The sequence below is a fragment of the Homo sapiens genome, chromosome 7 (genome assembly GCF_000001405.40).
Source record: "Homo sapiens chromosome 7, GRCh38.p14 Primary Assembly".
NCBI lineage: Eukaryota > Metazoa > Chordata > Mammalia > Primates > Hominidae > Homo > Homo sapiens.
Genome location: NC_000007.14, coordinates 25,165,228 through 25,185,507, shown reverse-complemented (window position 1 = coordinate 25,185,507; position 20,280 = coordinate 25,165,228). Strand labels below are relative to the sequence as shown.

The window sequence follows — 20,280 nt, the reverse complement described above, 5'->3', positions numbered from 1 at the left end:
ACAACTGTGAATGTTTACAATTTCACAATGAAAAAAAGAGAAAATGTTTTCCACCTTTGCTGCCTATCTCTTTAAAGAATATTTATCTTAAATATTTTGTTTCAAGAAAAGACCTGGGGAAGTGATAATTTTCTAAGTACCATATGACCCAGCAGTCAAATTTGAGCCAGAAAAATGAAAACTAATGTTCACACAAAAACTGTCCAGAAATGTGTACCACAGTGTTACTCATAATAATAATCACAAAACTGGAAACAACCTCATTTCTTCCCATGGATGAATAAAGAAATTGTGGAACATCTGTACCATGGAACACAAGTCAGCAGCGAAAAGGAAGGAACTACTGACCCCAGCCGCACCCTGGATGCATCCCCAGAGAGTTATGATGAGCAAGAAAAGCCAATCCCAAAGGGCTCCCTGTTGTATGATTCAGTTGACATGACATTCTGGAAATGTCAGGTTTATGGAAATGGAGAAGGAGTCCCCGGTGGCTGGGGTTACAGAGCGAGTGGTGAGGGAGGAGGCGATGAAGATGCTGGGTACTTACCGCATCTTCCCTCCCTGACTAGGTATCACCATGCCCTGAGTACAGAATGTGACACCACAGGATGCTCCCGGACTGTCCTCATCAGCTGGAGCCCCCGGGGGACAGCATGTCTTCCTGTCAGTTGCATCTAGAAGTGCCATGCCCACCCTCTCTATCGAATACACGTTTCATCCATATTTGTGTGTGTGGATCAGTGAAGAAGAAACTTAAGTAGTGGAACTTAATACATATGTGGAAAACATATTCTACATAACTTCACTCAACCAGGCAGTAGGGATAGCACATGGGGCCATCTGTATATAGGTCATAGTTCAAAGCATTGAATCATGACAGAGGAATAGAGACTGACCACTGAGTCTTCTGAGCAGAGGTTTAAGATTAGAGAGAAAAAGGCTACCCAGAAGGAACTCAAATTCATGGGACAAAATGTTAGAATATCCATGTAGGAAGATGCAAAGAAAGATAAAAGGAAAGATGCCAGGGAGGCCACAAGGACAAACAACTGCATGTAACCAAGGGCACATGGCCGGGTCACCTCGCTAAAGGGTCCTGATGATCATGTTTCTAAATAGAAGAACCTTACATTGCTTTTCAGACATTTCCAAGGGAATGATATCAGAAGCACAAGAGTCTTGGTTAGGTGACCATGGACCCCTACAGCAAGAGTGCTGGCCCCAGTCGAGCACTTACCTCACTGATTATGACTCTCCATGGCTCCATGTCCCCATAGATTGTAGGTGCTAGGACAACCCCTGATGCATTCTAGGTAACTGTTTACTAAATAGCACATTTTATAAATGTGTGCATCAACGTCACTTCAGTGTTCACTACTAAATGACCACCTAGTTCCTTAGCTACTCAAGGCAAAAAAAAAATTATTATTGTTTTTCACACAGTAAATTTTTTATTGGAGGAGGAGAACATCTAAAATCTACATTCTTAGAAAAATTTTAGTATGCAATACAATATTATGAATATTATAATCCTTGTGCTGCACATTACATTTCTAGGCTTATTCAATTGATCATAGTTGACATGACTACAACCATAAAGACTGTTGAGATTACAATGCTCTTTAAAAATAACCCTCTTCAAGAAAAAAATTGAAATGACACCCACAAAAAAGCTGATTGCGTTTTTATAATAAACAACTATGAAAGAAAGAAAATATGTTTTGAGAAGAATTTAAAGTACTGAACTTAGGTTAAATTATTTAGTACCAAAAAAGTATTAAAGTGTAATTTAACTCATTTGTAGTTTAAAGTCAGCAGAATATACATACTTTTAATTGTCATCCTACTAAGAAGATACATATACTGAAATCAACAAGGCTTTAAGTTTTTCAATTTTTAAAGATGCATATTTTAACGTTACTGAGACACTTTCCAACACATCTTCTAAGCAAGGCACCAGACTCCAAATTGTTTTTTCATGTAAAAAATATTCACTGGGCCGGGTGCATGACTCACGCCTGTAATCCCAGCACTTTGGGAGGCCAAAGCAGACGGATCACCTAAGGTCAGGAGTCTGAGACCAGCCTAGCCAATATGGCAAAACCCCGTCTCTACTAAAAATACAAAAAATTAGCCAGGCGTGGTGGCGAGCACTCGTAATCCCAACTACTTGGGAGGCTGAGGCAGGAGAATTGTTTGAACCGGGGAGGCGGAGGTTGCAGTGAGCCAAAATCACACCATTGTACTCCAGCCTGGGCAACAGAGACTCTGTTTCAAAAAGAAAAAAAAAATCATGTTCCTGGTCTCTTCATTCATTTTACTGGTCTCTATAACAGACTTAAAAGAAAGGTTATAGACTGTAATTCATGCTTTATGTTATTATCTACCTCCTACTTATTCTTTACCTGAAGGTGAAAGGTCTAACTGTGATTTGGAATTGTCATCAACCCACAGTATTCTAAGCATATATTATTTTCATTGCCAAATTTCATCTTCCCTGCTTGAAGGATTACTAGCAAAATGAGGTGGTGACAAGATCAACATGTGAGAAGTCAAAAGAAGGCAATCTGAGGCTACTGGCCCCCTGGCCATGTTATACCTAAGAAATTCGTCACTTGAGCATCCCTGGGTAGGAGGCTACTTTGTGTTGTTGAGATCACATCCTGGCTGAGATGGAGTGAGTTAAATCACAAAAGCTAAGAGTAACGAGTGTTGGTCAAACAAATAGACCCAATCCTGATATCCCTGAAAATTTCAGATGGAGAAGCATTTTCAAAGAAAACAATTGTTTTACAACGATCTGACAATGAATTTTTCTTGCCGGTACATTTTATTTGAAAAACGATAAAGATAAAAATAATTACATTTATCTGCCTTTTACACTCATCTGACCTAAAATAAAATTTCAAATCCCCTAGAACCTGGAGGCTATCACATGGCATATCCTGATCATTCAACCTGGAGTTGACACACTTTCTCCGGTGTCACTACCATCCATGTACATACATGGCTAGTGATGCATCTTCATCAGATGCCTCTGATTAAATCTATCATGCTCAGTTATTCCTCCCAGGAAGAATCAAGCCATGGGAAAATAGGACTAAGGTTGAGGATGAGAAAAAGGTGAAGTATAGAAAGTACTGGAAGACTGGGGACATGAAATGGGCTGGGGAGACAAGGAATTTAATGGGAGATCCTGAACACAGAGGAGCAGAAAAGGGGCAAAAGCTTACAATGAACTACCAGAAATTGGAGGGGAAATAAAGATGTCAAAGATAAAAGCCAGTTTCACCTAATACACAACTCTGTCTCCAGCAGGATCTATTCCTCTAGGCTTAGTGGGTGGTAACTACTGGAAGGTCGGCAGAGGTGCAGGAACTAAGAAATAAACCAAGACTACAAAATTACCACTGTGCCTACTTCAATACACCTTTCTTCCCCCACTCCAGGTAACACTCACATAGAAGGCACAGCACAAAATGAATGCCCACTGGTTGGTTAGTAGAAAGTTGTAAAGTAGGCAGAGAATAGCAAAGGCACCATCATACTGTTACCAAGCAAAGGAGGCTCGCTGCCCGAGGCACTAGAAGTCAATACTATAACACTGGGTTTTTGATAAAATAAAAACTTTTATTGCATGTCAACCAACAAAGAAATAGGAAGTCCAGCTCAAATCTGTCTCCCTGTGCTGGCTTTAGGACAATTATTTTATTAGAAATGGTTTTGAGTGTGGATTCTGGGATTAGCAGGTGCTTGGTGGAAGGAAAGAGGAAGTCTGGAAAGTCCTTGCGCATGTGCTCTTATTTCTTCATGCTACCTAAGGGTTCCACGTGCAAATTCAGTGAGGAGTTAGTATGAAACATGGCAGTAGAAATTCAGCTGTAAGGTCAGCAAGCTGGATCTGTGCAGACTCTAGTTGGCCTTATATGTTCCAGTGGATTTCAGCCAGTTTTATTAACCTACAAGCCCAGGCATTTCAGCATTTCAGCAATTTGTTTCTTTTATCTGCCATCCTGTAAACTCAAGAATTTCTATGACTGTTTTCTTTAACTCTTTGGCACACAGTTTCAACGCCCTTCTTCTCAGAGGTGGTCATTCTCACCCTCACCTTCTGGTTCCTGCAGGCTCATTTCTAGCCTCCCACACTGTATTAGTCTTTTCTCACAATGCTGTAAAGAACTGCCCAAGACTGGGTAATTTATAAACGAAGGAGGTTTAGTTGACTCACAATCTCACATGGCTGCGGAGGCCTCAGGAAACTTACAATCATGGCAGAAGGCCACGGAGAAGCAGTTACCTTCTCCACAAGGGGGCAGGAAGGAAAAGTGCTGGGAGAAGGGAGAAGAGCCTCTTATAAAACCATCAGATCTCGTGAGAATTCACTCGCTATTACGAGAACAGCATGGGGGAAACTGCCCCCATGATCCAATTACTTCCACCTGGTCTCTCCTTTGACAAGCGGGGATTATGGGTATTACAATTCAAGATGAGATTTGAGTGGGGACACAAAGCCTAACCATATCACACATATACACACAACCTAACCTCCTCACATCCCATTCCTTGATGGGGTGGCAGGTGGCGAGGGGGGGGTGACATCCCTTATTGTCAGCCATCACAGGAACTCATGACCCTGTAGGTGCAGATTCATGGCTCACATTTGTATCTTTTGGGGAAAACTGAGGTAATCAAGGTGGGGCTAGGCCCTGGGGACGAGGCAAGTAAAGGACTTTGCCATGTCCGCACCCACCAGGGAAGGAGCAGAGACTCTGTTAGGGCGCCATGCCAGGGGCTGCAGTTTCAGAATCCTGCAGACTCCACCCTCTATCTGGCCACACTGTCCCCAATTTTTGCGAGGTGACCTGGGGAGGGAGGACAGGTCGGATGCTCCGACCTCACCAGGGACTCCACTGGACCGGAGCTCTTCCTCCTCCGCCCAGTCCACATGAGAGAGCTCCCTGGCCGGCCCTGAGACAGCTCCAGACCTGGTAGCCCTGGAAAAAGAAACTGGTATCGCCATCGCCGCCGCCGCTAGAGGGCGCCTGGGGGCGGGGCGCGGGTGGGGCAAGGCGGGGTCCGACTGGAGGCAGGGCGGTGAGCCGAGAGGGGCGGGGCAAGGGACCGGGAGGCGGGGCCAGGGGTCGCAAGGCGGAAGAGCCCCTCTCGCCTCCGACCCGGCGCCTCGCACTCCGTTCACTCTCGGTTCCTCTTCGCATTCTTGCCAGTCCCGTAGCGCTGGGCTGGTTTCCTCCGAGGTCTCTAAGAGCCTCCTACTGCGCCCCGCTCGCCGCCCGGAAGCCCCCAGCCCCTCAAGGACGCATCACCTAATGCCGCGGTCACGGCCACCGTCACAAGCGCCCCCAGCCCCACCCCACCCCGGCCTGCCCGCCGTCCTTCTCCCGCCCCCGCCCCTGCCTGCCAGCTCCACCGGGCCGTAGGTGCGGACGACCTCAAAATTCCTCGGCCCGCGAAGGCCGCCAGCTGCGGGGAGGGGAGGGGAGGCGCGGTCCCGCAGCGCCCCCAGGCTCATGTCCCAGGTATGTCCAGACCCCCGAGGCACCGCTTGCAGGGCAGTGACAGCCCGTGAGGCTCGGCCTCGACCCCTGGCACCCTTGGTCCCAGCTACGCCGGCTCCTGGCCTTCCCCCAAGTCCGAGAGAGAGGTGGGATTCTCCCCGACGCAGTTGGAAACCGGGAATCCCCTTTAGGGTCCCGTTCGTGCTGCACTACTGACTCCACCATCTGCAAAGGGATTCTTGTCCAGAATCCCCGAAGGCTTTAGGACAGCGCTTATTTTGTTGAATGAAGAGTCTCTAATTTTCGGAAAGACCACAGGCTAAAAGTCAAGTGAGTTTTCTTGAATAGTTATAGTTAAATTTAAGGCAGGAATTGAATGTCAGTTGATGGCCACAAAGTAGCGGACTGGTACGAACCTACTGGATGATCATTCTGGTGACTACTTGGAGGCACCGTCCACTTTGTGGATTTGTTTCAGTTGAAATTTATTTCCATAGAACTTATTTAGGTCTCTATTTATTACTGATTTGACGGCTTTCAGTGCAGAGGGAAGCCTGTGACGTCTGTGCAGCGTCAGGTTGAACAATTTAGCAGTGTAAAATGTGTTTTCTGCCTGCCTTGACTCGACAAGCCAAATGTGCCCTCCTTTTCTTTTCCAGGTTGTGCCTTTTTAGCCAAGAAGCATGGAAGTCATTCACGGCAGGCCCTACTGTTGCAGGGAGCTTGAAGGAGCTGACATACTGTCCAACACCTTTTACTCTAATGAATTGCACAACCCCCTCCAGACGGTTACTCGCCCAACTGCCTCAGAGGACAGGTAAAACAAAAACTAGAAAAAGCAAACAAGAAAAAGCAGTTTTAATGTATTCGTGTATTTTATTATGTGAGGAAAAACATTTATTGTTCTGGGGCTCTTCTGTTTCTTGTTTGTTTGTTTGTTTGTTTGTTTTTGAGACGGTGTCTCGCTCTGTCGCCCAGGCTGGAGTGTAGTGGTGCGATCTCGGCTCACTGGGACCTCTGCCTCCCAGGTTCAGGTGATTCTCCTGCCTCACCCTCCAGAGTAGCTGGGATTACAGGCATGCACCACCATGCCCAGCTAATATTTTTGCATTTTTAGTAGAGACAGGGTTTCACTATGTTGGCCAGGCTGTTCTCAAACTCCTGACCTCAAATGATCCACCCACCTCGGCCTCCCAAAGTGCTGGGATTACAGGCGTGACCACTGCGCCGGGCCGGGGCTCTTCTGCTTATCATATAATAGGGAAGGCAAAACGTGGCAATTATCTGAACCTTCAAGTGTCTGTAAGGAACTCGAGAAGTAAGTGGCTGTCTACTATAAAAGCCACACATCAAATTCATCCACTACATTCTAAAATCTTAGAATGGTCCGTTCCTTCATTGGGAAATTAATATGTTGTAAGCAAAGACTTTTATAAATAGTACTGTATTGGTTCCCTAACATGCCCTTCTACCATCTGCCCAAAAATACTCCCAGAATTTGCTGCTTATACTTGTGTAAATTTTTGCTTCACCAAATTCCCTGTAACACATTAATTATACATTATGATTTAATTTATGAAAAGCAGTTTGGTGATTTCTCAAAGAACTCAAAACAGAATTACCATTTGACCCAGCAATCCCATTATTGGATTCTAAGTTGTTCTTATAAGTTGTTCTATCAAAGGAATATAAGTTGTTCTACCATAAAGACACATGCACAAGTATGTTCATCACAGCACTATTCACAATAGCAAAGACATGGAATCAGCATAAATGACCATCAGTGGTTGACTGGATAAAGAAAACATGGTACATATACACCATGGAATACTATGCAGCCATAAAAAAACGAGATCATGTCCTTTGCAGCAACGTGGATGGAGCTGGAGGCCATTATTCTAAAGCAAACTAACACGGGAACAGAAAACCAAATATCACCTATTCTGACTTATAAGTGGGAGCTAAACATTGAGTACACATGGAGACAAAGAAGGGAACCACAGACACCAAGGCCTACTTGAGGGTGGAGAGAGGGAGGAAGGTGAGGATCAGAAAACTACCTCTTGGGTACTATGCTTATCACCTGGGTGACAAAATAATTTGTACACTGAACCACTGCAACATGCAATTTACCTGTATAATGAACCTGCATATGTCCCCCTGAACCTAGAAAAAAAGTTTAAAAAAAAAAATTACAATGAAAATAATTGCACCTATCTAGTGATTACTGTGTGTCAGCACTCTACCAAATGCTTTGTATGTAGTAATTCTTTTAATCCTCATGACAACCCTATAAGTACTACTGTTATCTGCATTTTACATATGAAATAACAGATACACACAAGTAATTTGCCAAGATCTTAGTGTCAGCATTTCCTGTATTGTATTTACTTGAATCATTTTGAGAAAAGGAAAAGGAAAAAACACCTCAAAACACCTGGACAGTGAAAAAATAGCCTGAGTGGTTGTCTACTTGTTTTGTGTTTTTTGTTTTTTTGTTTTTTTTTTATTAGACGGAGTCTCACTCTGTTGCCAGGCTGGAGTGCAGTGGCACAATCTCGGCTTACTGCAACCTCCGCCTCCTGGGTTCAAGCAATTCTCCTGCCTCAGCCTCCTGAGTAGCTGGGACTACAGGCACACACCACCTCGCCCAGCTAATTCTTTTGTATTTTTAGTAGAAATGGGGTTTCACTATGTTGGCCAGGATGGTCTCGATCTCCTGACCTCGTGATCCATCCGCCTCAGCCTCCCAATCATTTAAGAATTCTCTAGGAAACCAGACGGGAAGTCACCCAGCCTCAGTTTAAACTCTTCCAAAAAGGATAGCACTTCCACACCAGGCAGTCCATTCCATTTTTGAATGCTCCTGATTGTTAGATCATTTTCTTTCTAATGTGAACAATTTTTCCCTTGTAATTTCTGCCTGCTGATTCTGGTTCTTCCCTCTGAAGCTATGCAGAATAGTCATTCATCATCCCATGCTAGCAGCCCTTCAAGATCTGAAGATTCTCTTGTCCCATGTGAGAATTCTGTTTGCCAGACTAAACACTGATTCTCACAGATTCAGCTCCTTTTTCTTCTTGCGCTTAGCCTTTCACCATCTCGATCAGACTTCCACAGATCTTCTCCGGTTTACAAACATGCTCTTTATACTAATAAAGAAAAAGAATGATTTTTCCGTAATTATAAAACTAACACACATTCCTCATAATGTAGAAATCATAGAAATTTGTAAGGAAAACAAATTCTTTATTTTTCCAACAGAAAAATTATGAAAATGAAGCACAGGAAAGAAGCCCTCTATATTTCCTTTATCCAGAGATAATAACCACTGTGTTAACATCTTAATATGTGTCCTCTCCAATTTTTTTAAATGTAAAGATCATATTCAACATTTTTTAAATCAATTGCTATTTTCACTTAATGAAAAGAAATATTCTTGTATTGGAGGAAAAGGAGCTCTTGTCACTTCTGGGTCAGTCCTTGCTGCCCCTACTCCTCTACCATTGACCTGATTCACAAGAGTGGTTTTCAGCCCTAAATTCCTGTTCAACTCCAAGGGTTATCACATTAGGCAGAGCTTCCCTTGAGTCAAATAAAACCCTTAGTGGATTGTGTGTGATCTGGGAATGGGCAGTTGTCCCTGGCTCAAAAACAGCAATGTGAGGTTTTATATTTGGCCTAAAGGAATCCAAGAATTTAGGGCTGCCATATCTGAATGCACCATCAAAAAGCACTGTCAAAGGCTTTTCACTGAAATGTTGATCCCCTCTACCTAAACGGTCCTATAGTTGGTTAGTGATCAGCTCCAAAACCCTTAACTGGCATGAAATTTAAGAGAAGCACGTTTTTTGTTAACTGACTATAAAATTCAACACGATATATGGCCAACTATAAACTACAAAAAGGTATTATTTGAAGCTCTATCTAGGTATAACCATGCTCCTGGCTCCTAATAACTACAACTTGCTTTCCCTTTTATTTCACGTGAATTCTTTCCTTTCACAATCACCAGATTAAGAAAACCAGGATGATCATGTGTTCTCAGAACCCCTCCTCTTAACCCCCTCTTAAAAAGCAGCCAGACAGCTTACAAAAGAGTGTCTTTCCTCTCAGTGTTAGTGATGGAACGGCTCTGGACGGTGATAACAGGATACTGGTGGTAACTCTGTTCTATCATTGCTGAGCCTCACTTCTTCAGACCAAGTGCAGGGTCCGTGGCTCCCAATTTGAATCACAAGGTATCTCAACAGCAAAATAAAACAATACAAAACAGAAAGCCCCTGGTTTTTCAGGATTACCTTCATAATGGTAAGGGTGAACGTGAGCCCTAGCATACGTTTGCACTCAGCAGCTTAATTTTCTAAACACAGATGTACTTAAAGGGACACCCTTTTTCAATATCATGATGTATCCAGGTACAACTTAGATCATGTAGGCCATACCTACAACCTAGATGCAGCCATCATGGCACTCACTTGGCAGTTTTAACAGTGACGCAAAACGATTTCCTCACATCAGCCTACTTTTTTTTTCTTTTCACAATAGGTGAGGTGAATACAAAAATTAGCCAGGTGTGGTGGCTCACACCTGTAGGTCCCAGCTACTTGGGAGGCTGAGGTGGGAGGATCACTTGAGCCTAGAGGCAGAGGTTGTAGTATGCCAAGATCACACCACAGCACTCCAGACTGGGCAACAGAGCGAGACTCTTTCTCAAAAATCAAAACAAAATAAAACAATACAAAAATAGGTGACACGGCCTAGCTCCCCTGTTACCCAGGACTGGTCTACAGACAGGGTACTTCAAAATCACCTGAGGAGCTTTCTAGAAAAACAGATTCCCAGGCTGCCTCTATATATGGACATTCTGACTCCCCAGGTCTGAGGGGGTGCAAGGGAATCTGCATTTTTTAGTTTTTCAGCTTACATTGAGAACTACTGGGCTAGCAGCACTGAAAATATAAGAAAACCAGGACTATGGATCTGGCTTACCTGATGACCAAGAGCAAGTTAGTTGCTACACTTTAATTACTTTACTCAAGTGGATTTTTTGGGACAATTATGCTAGCCACTATTTTATATAAACTTGCTTGATCTCCATTAAAAATATTAAGTATATAAACAGGTGGTAATTTTTTCTCATTTCTTCTGTTGAAAATTTAACTGGCAGGAACAGCTACTCAAAATCATCAAGATTCCTATCCTCTTTTTCATTCAGCTGACTTCTCCTTAACTTCTAGCAAGTTCTCTCAGCTCACAGGGCAAACAAACATATCCATTAAGGAAGTGCCTTGAGAATTGCTTAGGATTTCATTATATAATAGGATTTCATTATAGAATTTCATTATCAGTTCCCATTTTGTTTCTGGATTCACTTTGCTGTTGTCCGACTCTTAAAACATTTTTTTAAATAATAGTTATCTGCCAACTAAAAATGCGGGTCATGTTTATCTCGAGCTTTTCTCTAGTCACGCCTCCTAGTAGTTACTGGCTAAATTACTGAATTTGGGGTTTGATGCATAAAATCTTGTACAGTGACTTTAAAATGAAATACTGGCTCATCTATAGGGAATGTGTCCTTTTCAAAAACAAGTAAACAATTTTCTATCGCTAGAGATGGTAGCACCAATAATTTGATAATTATTCTCTTTGTTATAGAGATGTATTTTATTTACATTGAGAACTACTGGGCTAGCAGAAAGGGAGAGAGAGGGAGAGAGACATGGAGAGAGAGTGAGAGAGACAGTGAGAGAGAGGGGGAGGAAAAGAGGGAGAGAGAGAAAGGGAGACGGAGAGAGAGGGGGAAAGAGAAAGGTTTAAAATTTCATTAAAATTATTAAAACATAGCCCTCATTTGGAGTTGGCAGATAACTATCATTTTTTAAAAATGTTTAAGAATCAGAAAGCAATGAAGTGAATCCAGAAACAAATGGGAGCCTATAATGAAATCCTATCATGAAATCCTAAATTATTACATCCTAAAATGTCAATTTTTATTTTAATTTGGTTCCTTCTCTACAATTCTGTGAGTATTAAGGCTAAGGGGAGGGAGACATGATACCTTAAAGTAAGAGGGAAATATGACTTATTTATGCATTGTCTTTTATTTTAAATGATTTCCTGCAACTTTCCAGCTTTAGGTGGATGCCAGCCCAAATGATTGATTAGCATTTTCTACCGGCTCATCTTCTGGGGACGATGTAATATACGGGGGTCAGATGTTGAGAAATTGACTCATTTAGGTTTTGAATGTAACTTTTACAAACTTAGATATTAAAGCTTAGGTTGTCATTAATCAAATGCATTTAAATATTTTTCACTTGTCATGTCCCCCAAATCGTGTCTGTTGATCGTTGTCAGACAGCTAGGGAGGACGTAGAGGTCTGAGAGCTGAATGCCAGCATCCCTTCTGCAGCACCCCAAATCAGTGGGCCCAGGACTCTCCTTGCCTAGCCAGTGCGGGGTTAGCAAACTTTTTTTCTGTAAAGAGCCAGATGGTAAATATTGTAGGCTTTACGGTCTCTGTCCAACTATTCAACTCTGCCATTGTGGGGCAAAAGCAGCCATAGACCGTATGTATATAGTCCATAAATGAATGGTCATGGCTGTATTCCAATAGACTTTTGTTTACAAAAACGGGCAGGGAGTTGGATTTGGCCCATGGGCCATGCTTTGCCAACTCTCAATCTAGTGACTTCACAAGATAATACATTCCACTTATAGTCCTGAGTGTTGCTTCTTCATTCTATTCAACAATTATTACAGGTGGGGGAGGAGGGGTTATGTTAAGCCAAGCACTGTACTGGTAAAGAGAAAAAAGTAGCTCCACAGTCCATACCTCTTTCTCTTTCCCTCTCTCTCTCTTCCTGTCTCTCCCCTTCTCTCTCCCTATCTACCTACCTATCTCCCCTTCTCTTTCCCATTCTCTCCCCCTCTCTCTCCCTCCCTTTTTCTCCCACTTTCTTCCCCCTTCCTTCTCTCGCCCTCCTCCCCCAACCCTTCACCCCACCACCCCCTTCCTCTCCTCCATGTTTCTGACTGGATCCTACTGTTCTCAGGGTATAGTCCAGAGGATTTAGAAGGCCCCACAGGATACTGTCCTTGTTTTCCTCTCATGCTCCACCTCTCACCATGGCCCTTGTCTACATGCCCCAAGTTCTAGAATTCTATATCAACTCTTCTAATATAGTTCAAAATTCAACTCTATTTTCTCAGCCCCTAAGATCTGGGTAAGTTCTACTGAGATCTCAGATCTTTACTCCATGCCTTGTGGAATTCCTCCAAATTTATCCAAGTTCCCAGGACAAGGATAGGGATAGCATTTGAAAGTCTCATGGTCACTTCTGACTTTGGGTTCCTGGTTCCACTTAAAACAACACACTGACCCAGATGTGAAACTCAGTCATCCCTCATTTTTCTCTAAGGACCTTGTCCATGCAGAGCATTTGTGAGCCTGGTAAACTTCACTGAACTGTTGGGGATCAGGAAGGAGAGTCACACCATGCCATGCTACATGTAACCAAAACACCTTGTTAGCCATAACTTCCACATTCTTAAAAGGTCTTTAACCAGCTGTCGCCAAGGGTTTCTCCCTGGGTTTTCAACCAGTGCAGTCCCCAGTAGCCTCACCATCCTGCTGGCTCCTCTCATCTCCCTCTTCCCTTACTCCCCTTTCCTCTCCTCTCCCTCTTTCAAGAGCAAACAAACAAGTTTCTCCCACTGCAGAGCAGTTTAATCAGTCTGAGCTTGCTTGAGCTCCTACCACCACCCATACTTTCAGAGTCTCTGTGTCTGCAAGGGGCTTAACAGAATATTTTACCAAACAAAAGTAATTCTTCCCTAAGAGAGATTCTACACTGAAGTCAACACTGTCAGGAATTTTCCAGTCTATTAAACTCTAGGCCTTTTTACCTGCTATTCCCTTGCATGCCACAGTATTTCTTCTGTTTCCTCTAGATAACTCCTACTCATCCTTTAGAACACATCTTGTGATTTCCCGCAAGAATCCTTCCTACTGAAAGGATTCCTGTTTGTCCTGCAAAGTGCCTTATAGGTATATACCATAATACCAATCCAGGACCACTTAAATCCAAGCTTAAGTTTAGGGTAGATGCAAACTGGGGCCACAGGGGAACTGGTTAACTTCTGACTCACCTTGAACATGAGAGGGTAAGCATTTTAAGGTCCCAGCTTCTTGTGTAGATGGTCTCCTTTAGTTTCCTCACTTGGCTGATTTCCATATCCCTCACCTTAAAACAAAAATGTAAATTTGCCAGGATCAGCCCTGCCCTAAGGGCAGAAGTGGCTTCCCTGCTTGCTTACTTCACTGGGTTCCTATTTACCCTCTATGTAGCACTTATCCCTTTCTGTCTTGTCAAAAAGCTAGTTGTTTTTAAGATTTTTTTTTCTCCTCCCAGTATTTTTAGTTGTTTTCAGTGGGAAGTTTGGTCCAAATAACCTAGGCCGCCATTACTGGAAACTGAAAGTCATTAAATCCTTCCTAATTAGGAAGCAGAACTTTTGCCAGATGCATTTGCAGGTGTTTTTGTAAGGCTGTGTTCCTAACCAGAAGATTTGATTCCTCTATCACAGAAAGCAGTATAGGAAACAAATCCATCTCTTTGGCCTTACTCATTTATTCAATAGTATTATTTGAGTGCTTCCTGTGTGCCAGGCACTGGGGTAAAGGTTACAACAGTGAGCCAGTAGAATCCCTGCCCTTCACTCCTTTGTTAAGAAAAAGCAGAGTAAATCATCTGAGCTACCAGTTTCAAGATTAGATAAGCCCTACCAACCAATTTAGGAAACCGCCAGTCCACTGCATAGTACTGTTGTAAGGGGTGGGACTTGGAGACATGATTAACTTACAAGGTAACAATTGAATAGAATAGTGCTTCTAAAACTTTAGCATGCACAAGAATCACCTGGAGGGCTTCTTAAAACATTACTGCACCCCATCCCCAGAGATTCTGATTCTTAGGTTTTGAGATGGATCCTGAGCATTTGCATTTCTAAGAAGCTCTAAGGAGATGCTTATGCAACTAGTCTAGGGACCACTCTTTGAGAACCATTGTTATAGTAGCCCTAGATAAAACTTATGGGTAAGTAGCTCCTTTACAAGATTAGGAATATTCCTTTACAATACTCTCCATTTCTGAAAATCCAAAGATAATCTTTAGCCAAGACCATTTAATGAGGAAGAAGGATTTTCAACAAATAGAGCTAGAACAACTGGATATCCACATGCAAAAGAATAGATGCATGAGATCCCTTATCTCATATTGTATCCAAAATTAACTTATCCTGAATCAAAGACCTAAGCGTAAGGGCTAAACTGTAAGATACTTAGAAGAAAACATAGCGATAAATCTTTATGGCCTTGGATTTGTAACTGTGTTCTTAGATATGACTCCAAAAGCACAAGCAATAAAAGGAAAAACAGATCAAGTGAACTTCGTCAAAATTAAAAAACTTTTTTGCTTCAAGGGACACTATCAAGTAAGTAAAAAGTAATTGCACAGAACAGGAGAAAATATCTGCCTATTATCCCTGACAAGGGACTTATATGTAGGATATATAAAGAACTCTTGTAACGCAAAAATAAGACAAATAACAAAAAATGCAAAGGATCTGAATAGATATTTCTCCAATAAAGATATTGCCAATAGGTACATGGAAAAAAATGCTCAACATCATTAGTCATTGGGGAAATGCAAATCAAAACTACAATTAGATACCACTTCACATCCACTAGAATGGCAATAATTTTTTTAAATTTTAACAGAAAATAGCAAGTGTTGGCAAAGATGTGGAGATACTGGAATCCTCATACAATGTTGGTAGGAATGTAAAATGGAGCAGCTACTGTAGAAAACAGTTTGGCAGTTCCTCAACAAGTTAAACAGAATCACCATATGACCCACTTCTAATTTAATTCCCCAAAGAATTAAAAACAGGTATTCAAACCAAAACTTGAACATGAATATTCATAGCAGTATTATTCACGAGAGTTAAAAGGTGAAAATAACCCAAATGTCCATCAACTGATGAATGGTGAAACAAAACGTGATATATCTATACAGTGGAATATTACGTAGCCATTAAAAGGAATGAAGGGCTGGGCACAGTGACTCACGCCTGTAATCCTAACACTTTGGGAGGCCAAGGTAGGGGGGATCACCTGAGGTCAGGAGTTCAAAACCAACCTGGCCAACATGGCGAAACCATGTCTCTACTGAAAATACAAAAAATTAGCCAGGCGTGGTGGTGGGCACCTGTAATCCCAGCTACTCGGGAGGCTGAGACAGGAGAATCACTTGAACCCTGAGGTGAGGTAGAGGCTGCAGTGAGCCAAGATCACGCCATTGCACTCCAGCCTGGGCAACAAGAGCGAAACTCCATCTCAAAAAAACAAATAAATAAATAAATGGAATGGAGTATGGACACATACTACAAAATGGATGAACCTTGAAAACTTTATGCCAAGTCAAAGAAGCCCATCACAAAAGGCCACGTGTTACATTATTCTACTTACAGGAAATGTCCAGAATAGGCAAATCTACAGAAAGTAGATTAGTATAATAGTTGCCGAGGGAAAGAGTGAGGGTGGGGAGTATAGGGGATGATGGCTTAGCAATACAGGGTATTCTTGAGATGATGAAAATGCTGTAAAGTTGACTGTGGGGATGCTCGCACTTATCTGTGAATAAACTTTAAAGCCATTGAATTATACACTTTATTTTTTAATTAATTATAAATTTATAAAATAGAGACAGGGTCTTGCTATGTTGCCCAGGCTGGTCTTGAACTCCTGAGCTCAAGCAGTCCTCCTGCCTTGGCCTCCCAAAGTGCTGGGATTACAGGCATGAGCCACTGCACCTGGCCTGAATTGTACACTTTAAATCGATGAATTGTGTGGCAAGTGAATTAAATCTCAATAAACCTGTTTTTAAAAATAAACACATGGGCAGATGCAGTGGCTCACACCTGTAATCTCAAGCACTTTGGGAGGCCGAGGCGGGTGGATCACCTGAGGTCAGGAGTTCGAGACCAGCCTGGCCGACATGGTGAGACCCCCGTCTCTACTAAAAATGCAAAAATTACCCGGGTGTGATGGCACGCCCCTGTAATGTCAGCTACTCGGGAGGCTGAGGTGGGAGAATTGCTTGAACCCAGGAGGCAGAGGCTGCAGTGAGCCAAGATCATGCCACTGCACTCCAGCCTGGGCAACAGAGTGAGAACCTGTCTCAAAAAAAAAAAAACGAAAATGAAAAAAATAAACACACTATAACTGATGACCAAAAAAAGGATAATCTGTAAGTCCTCAGAAATTTAACCTCATTCTTTCAGCAGTCCCATGATGCCTAAATAACCAGTATCATAATCTACCTGACACTGAGAATTCTGTGTTCTGAAGATTTAATCTGAAAATACTTATGAAGTGGTAGGAATTTTATGCAATCTGTTATGCAATTTTATGCATCTGTTATGTTGCTGAGGCTCTTTGAAGTCTCTCTTTTTTCACAGGTATCAGGAATTAAGGGAGTCACTTCAACAATGTAGGCTTCCTTGGGGCGCTGAAAGAGAGTATGGTGGGATAATACCGATTTCACTCCCCGAGGACCACAGGCCAAAGTATGAGCCTCCTCGTGTCATGGGCAAAGGACATCAGCATTATGGATTTGGTGGAGAAACCTGGCCAAGGTAAATAAACTTTCTGCCATTCACAGAAAGGTCTTTATTATCCATTTTTCTTTACTTCCATTGTGAGTCCTTTGTTTGCTTAAATCTGTCTTCAAACTTATTTCTCTTACTATTTATGAAAAGACACAGAATGAAAAATTAATTTCTAATTGTGAAATAATAATAAATGAATGGTTTTTGCTGTCCTTAGTGATGTTAAAATATTGTGATCAGAAATTTTGATTCATTTAATGTTCCTGAGATAGAAAGAGAGAAAACAATTAAATTTTAAATATTTTTGTTTGAGCAAAGACCTGGCCTAATCTGTACAGATGCTCTTGGTTTTTGGAACTTTTGATTTGTAATTTGTCAGTCTTTTTGATAGTCACTAGAATCTACTGGGCATTGTTTTCAGGTGATAAAACCTTTCAATAATAGTTTATAAATCTTAAAGTTACTCAGCAACTCTATTCAAAACACATTAAAATTCAACAGAAAGCAGAAAAAAATCTGAATAGCAAATGTTATATTAAATATTTCCTAAGGATTTACTCAGAGCAGAGTCTATCATACACTTGGCACAGAGCCTGCTTCCTCCTGCTTTATCTAACAATCCTGATTATCTGGTTTATGAACACTCTAGTTAACTAGTTCTTTGTTCTAAAGCAGGTAAAAGAAATAAATTAAGGCAGACAAGCCACAGCAAGAGAGAGAAACATTAACAACAGGGACATGTGCCGCCGATGACCTTATCAAAGCCTCAGAAAAGCAATAAAAAGCAGACAAATAAAAAGGCCTGACAGTCACAGGCCAATTAGAAAGATTCAGACATCAACATAAATAATAGATAGTGAGGACCTCACATTCATTCATTCACTCAACAGGTGTGTTTAAGCCCACGCTCTCATGGAACTGTAATGTCTTTCTGAAGCAGATACTGCCATCCTTGTTTTACAATGAATAAACAGACCCAAGAGATTCAGCACCTTTCCTTGGGTCAGACAATTATAAAGTTGTGGAATAGGGATTTGAATCCAGATGTATTGACTCCAACACCCAAGTTCTTTTCATCTGTTCATTTTATTTGTGCATCTGTTTATTCATTTATCTGCTCAGTAATTTAAGTATAGGAAGCATTGTTCTAGAGACTGGGGAGATAGCTCTGTATGGAATTTACAGCTACTGCCCTCCCAAAATTTAATTATTAAAAAATGCACAATACTTTATAAGAATTAGAAATATTCATACAGAATTCCAGTGTGTAAAAAGAAAGCCAAAGACTTGTTTCTTAAGGATGATCTACTTCAAAATGATATTTGTGCATGATCTCTTACTGAATGTGACAAGGAGAGAGAAAATACTTGTTCCACTTAGAATGCCAGTTACACTTGCATATCTCTTAATTTTTTTTTTTGAGGTGGAGTTTCACTCTTGTTGACCAGGCTGGAGTGCAGTGGCATGATCTCAGCTCACTGCAACCTCCCCTTCCTGAGTTCAAGCAATTCTCCTGCCTCAGCCTCCCAGCCTAGCTGGGATTACAGGCGTGTGCCACCACGCCCAGCTAATTTTGTATTTTTAGTAGAGACTAAAACATGGGGTTTCTCCATGTGGATCAGGCAGGTCTCGAACTCCCGACCTCAGGTGATCCACCTGCCTCGGCCTCCCAAAGTGTTGGGATTACAGACATGAGCCACCGCGCCTGGCCAATCCTGTTTTTATTTTTGAGACAGAGTCTTGCTGTGTTGCCCAGGCTCGAGTGCAGTGGCACGATCTCAGCTCACTGCAAGCTCTGCCTCCCAGGTTCATGCCATTCTCCTGCCTCAGCCTCCCGAGTAGCTGGGACTACAGGCGTCCGCCACCACGCCCAGCTAATCTTTTGTATTTTTAGTAGAGACGGGGTTTCACCGTGTTAGCCAGGATGGTCTCGATCTCCTGACCTCATGATCCGCCCACCTGGGCCTTCCAAAGTGCTGGGATTACAGGCGTGAGCCACCACGCCCGGCAATCCTGTTCTTAAACTAACCATTGCTCTCCAGCCTGGGCAACAAGAGTGAAACTCCGTCTCAAAAAAAAAAAGAAGACGGAAAGAAAGAAAAAAGAGCAAGATTATGAGACAAAACTGTGGGATGCCTAGAGAAATAGGCTCATTGTTCGGCATCCAGGAATAGTGGCCAGACTCACTCCCAGGACTGGCCTCATCAGGGAAGAAGTGCCTCTTTAACTGGACACCTCTCCTGCAACCTTATTGGTGGTTTGGATGCCCCTCATGAAGCTCATGTTCTCAGGCTACTCACAGTCAACTCAAAATCTAGTATAGATATGGATGATTGGCAGAACTTAGGGCACATTTGCACCCTGGCTGCTAGGAAGGCTGGGAAGCGGGGTGTTCCAAATGTGGGAAACTAGCAAAATGTAGAGAGGGTATTGTAAAGATGACAGTCTTGAGTGCCAGTGGACTGTCACTCTAAACAACAGCAGCAACAATAGCATGCTTTTCTATTCAATACACGGTACATCGGCATCACCTAGGAAATGGCGAATGCCACATCTCAGCCTCCACCCCAGATTTACTGAAACAGAATCTGCATTTTAACAAGATAACCTCAGATAATTCCAACGTGCAGCAAAGTTGGAGGACCGTTGCTTCAATGTAAGAAAATGCGGCCAGGCGCGGCGGCTCACGCCTGTAATCCCAGCACCTTGGGAGGCCAAGGTGGGCAGATCATGAGGTCAGGAGGCTGAGGCAGGAGAATCACTTAAACCCAGGAGGCAGAGGTTATAGTGAGCCAAGATTGTGCCATTGCACCCCAGCCTGGGCGACAGAGTGAGACTCCGTCTAAAAAAAACAAAAAAGCAACAATTTTCATACAAATGAAAATATACTCACCTCCCCAAAAGCAGAGGCCAAAGGAAAGTGGTTTCCAACTTTGCTATATCCAATTCCAAGTGCCCACTCCTGTCTAGTTCAGTTGTAATCTTGTCCCAATATTCTATACCTATGCTCTCTAATAAAGTTAACCATCACCAATGCATCCTATATGAAATAATAAGGAAAATGAAGAGGAAAAAAGAAAATACATAA

The 20,280-nt window shown here is 42.4% G+C and overlaps 1 protein-coding gene and 2 long non-coding RNA genes across 6 annotated transcripts in view, besides 2 other annotated features; 1 reads left to right on the top strand and 2 right to left on the bottom strand.

Moving 5' to 3' along the window:
• Positions 1–20,280, bottom strand: part of LOC124901603 (uncharacterized) — a 61,442-nt gene that overhangs the window by 29,952 nt on the left and 11,210 nt on the right. The gene's annotated exons all lie outside the window — the stretch shown is intronic.
• Positions 4,919–5,308: a silencer, noted in NCBI's record as "silent region_18024". NCBI's record gives its function as "represses an Ori minimal core promoter by ATAC-STARR-seq in GM12878 lymphoblastoid cells {active_cell/tissue: GM12878}" and the evidence as "EXISTENCE:reporter gene assay evidence [ECO:0000049][PMID:35858748]".
• SPMIP4 (sperm microtubule inner protein 4) overlaps positions 5,154–20,280 on the top strand; it is a 54,583-nt gene continuing 39,456 nt past the window's right edge. For 2 of the 4 annotated variants that reach the window (XM_047419891.1, NM_138811.4), the window contains exons 1-3: positions 5,154–5,846; positions 6,176–6,333; positions 17,043–17,219. In XM_047419891.1, coding sequence (XP_047275847.1) covers positions 6,200–6,333; positions 17,043–17,219 — 311 coding nt within the window. In that variant the 5' untranslated portion in view covers positions 5,154–5,846; positions 6,176–6,199. The remainder of the gene's footprint in view (positions 5,847–6,175; positions 6,334–17,042; positions 17,220–20,280) is intronic. The other 2 variants (NM_001371351.1, NM_001371352.1) reach the window with 2 other exon arrangements.
• Positions 5,369–5,648: a silencer, noted in NCBI's record as "silent region_18023". NCBI's record gives its function as "represses an Ori minimal core promoter by ATAC-STARR-seq in GM12878 lymphoblastoid cells {active_cell/tissue: GM12878}" and the evidence as "EXISTENCE:reporter gene assay evidence [ECO:0000049][PMID:35858748]".
• On the bottom strand, positions 7,877–9,694 carry LOC124901602 (uncharacterized). The gene is made up of 2 exons (XR_007060260.1): positions 9,611–9,694; positions 7,877–8,668 (listed from the first exon to the last, which is right to left on the bottom strand). It is a non-coding gene; the product is annotated as an uncharacterized LOC124901602 (long non-coding RNA).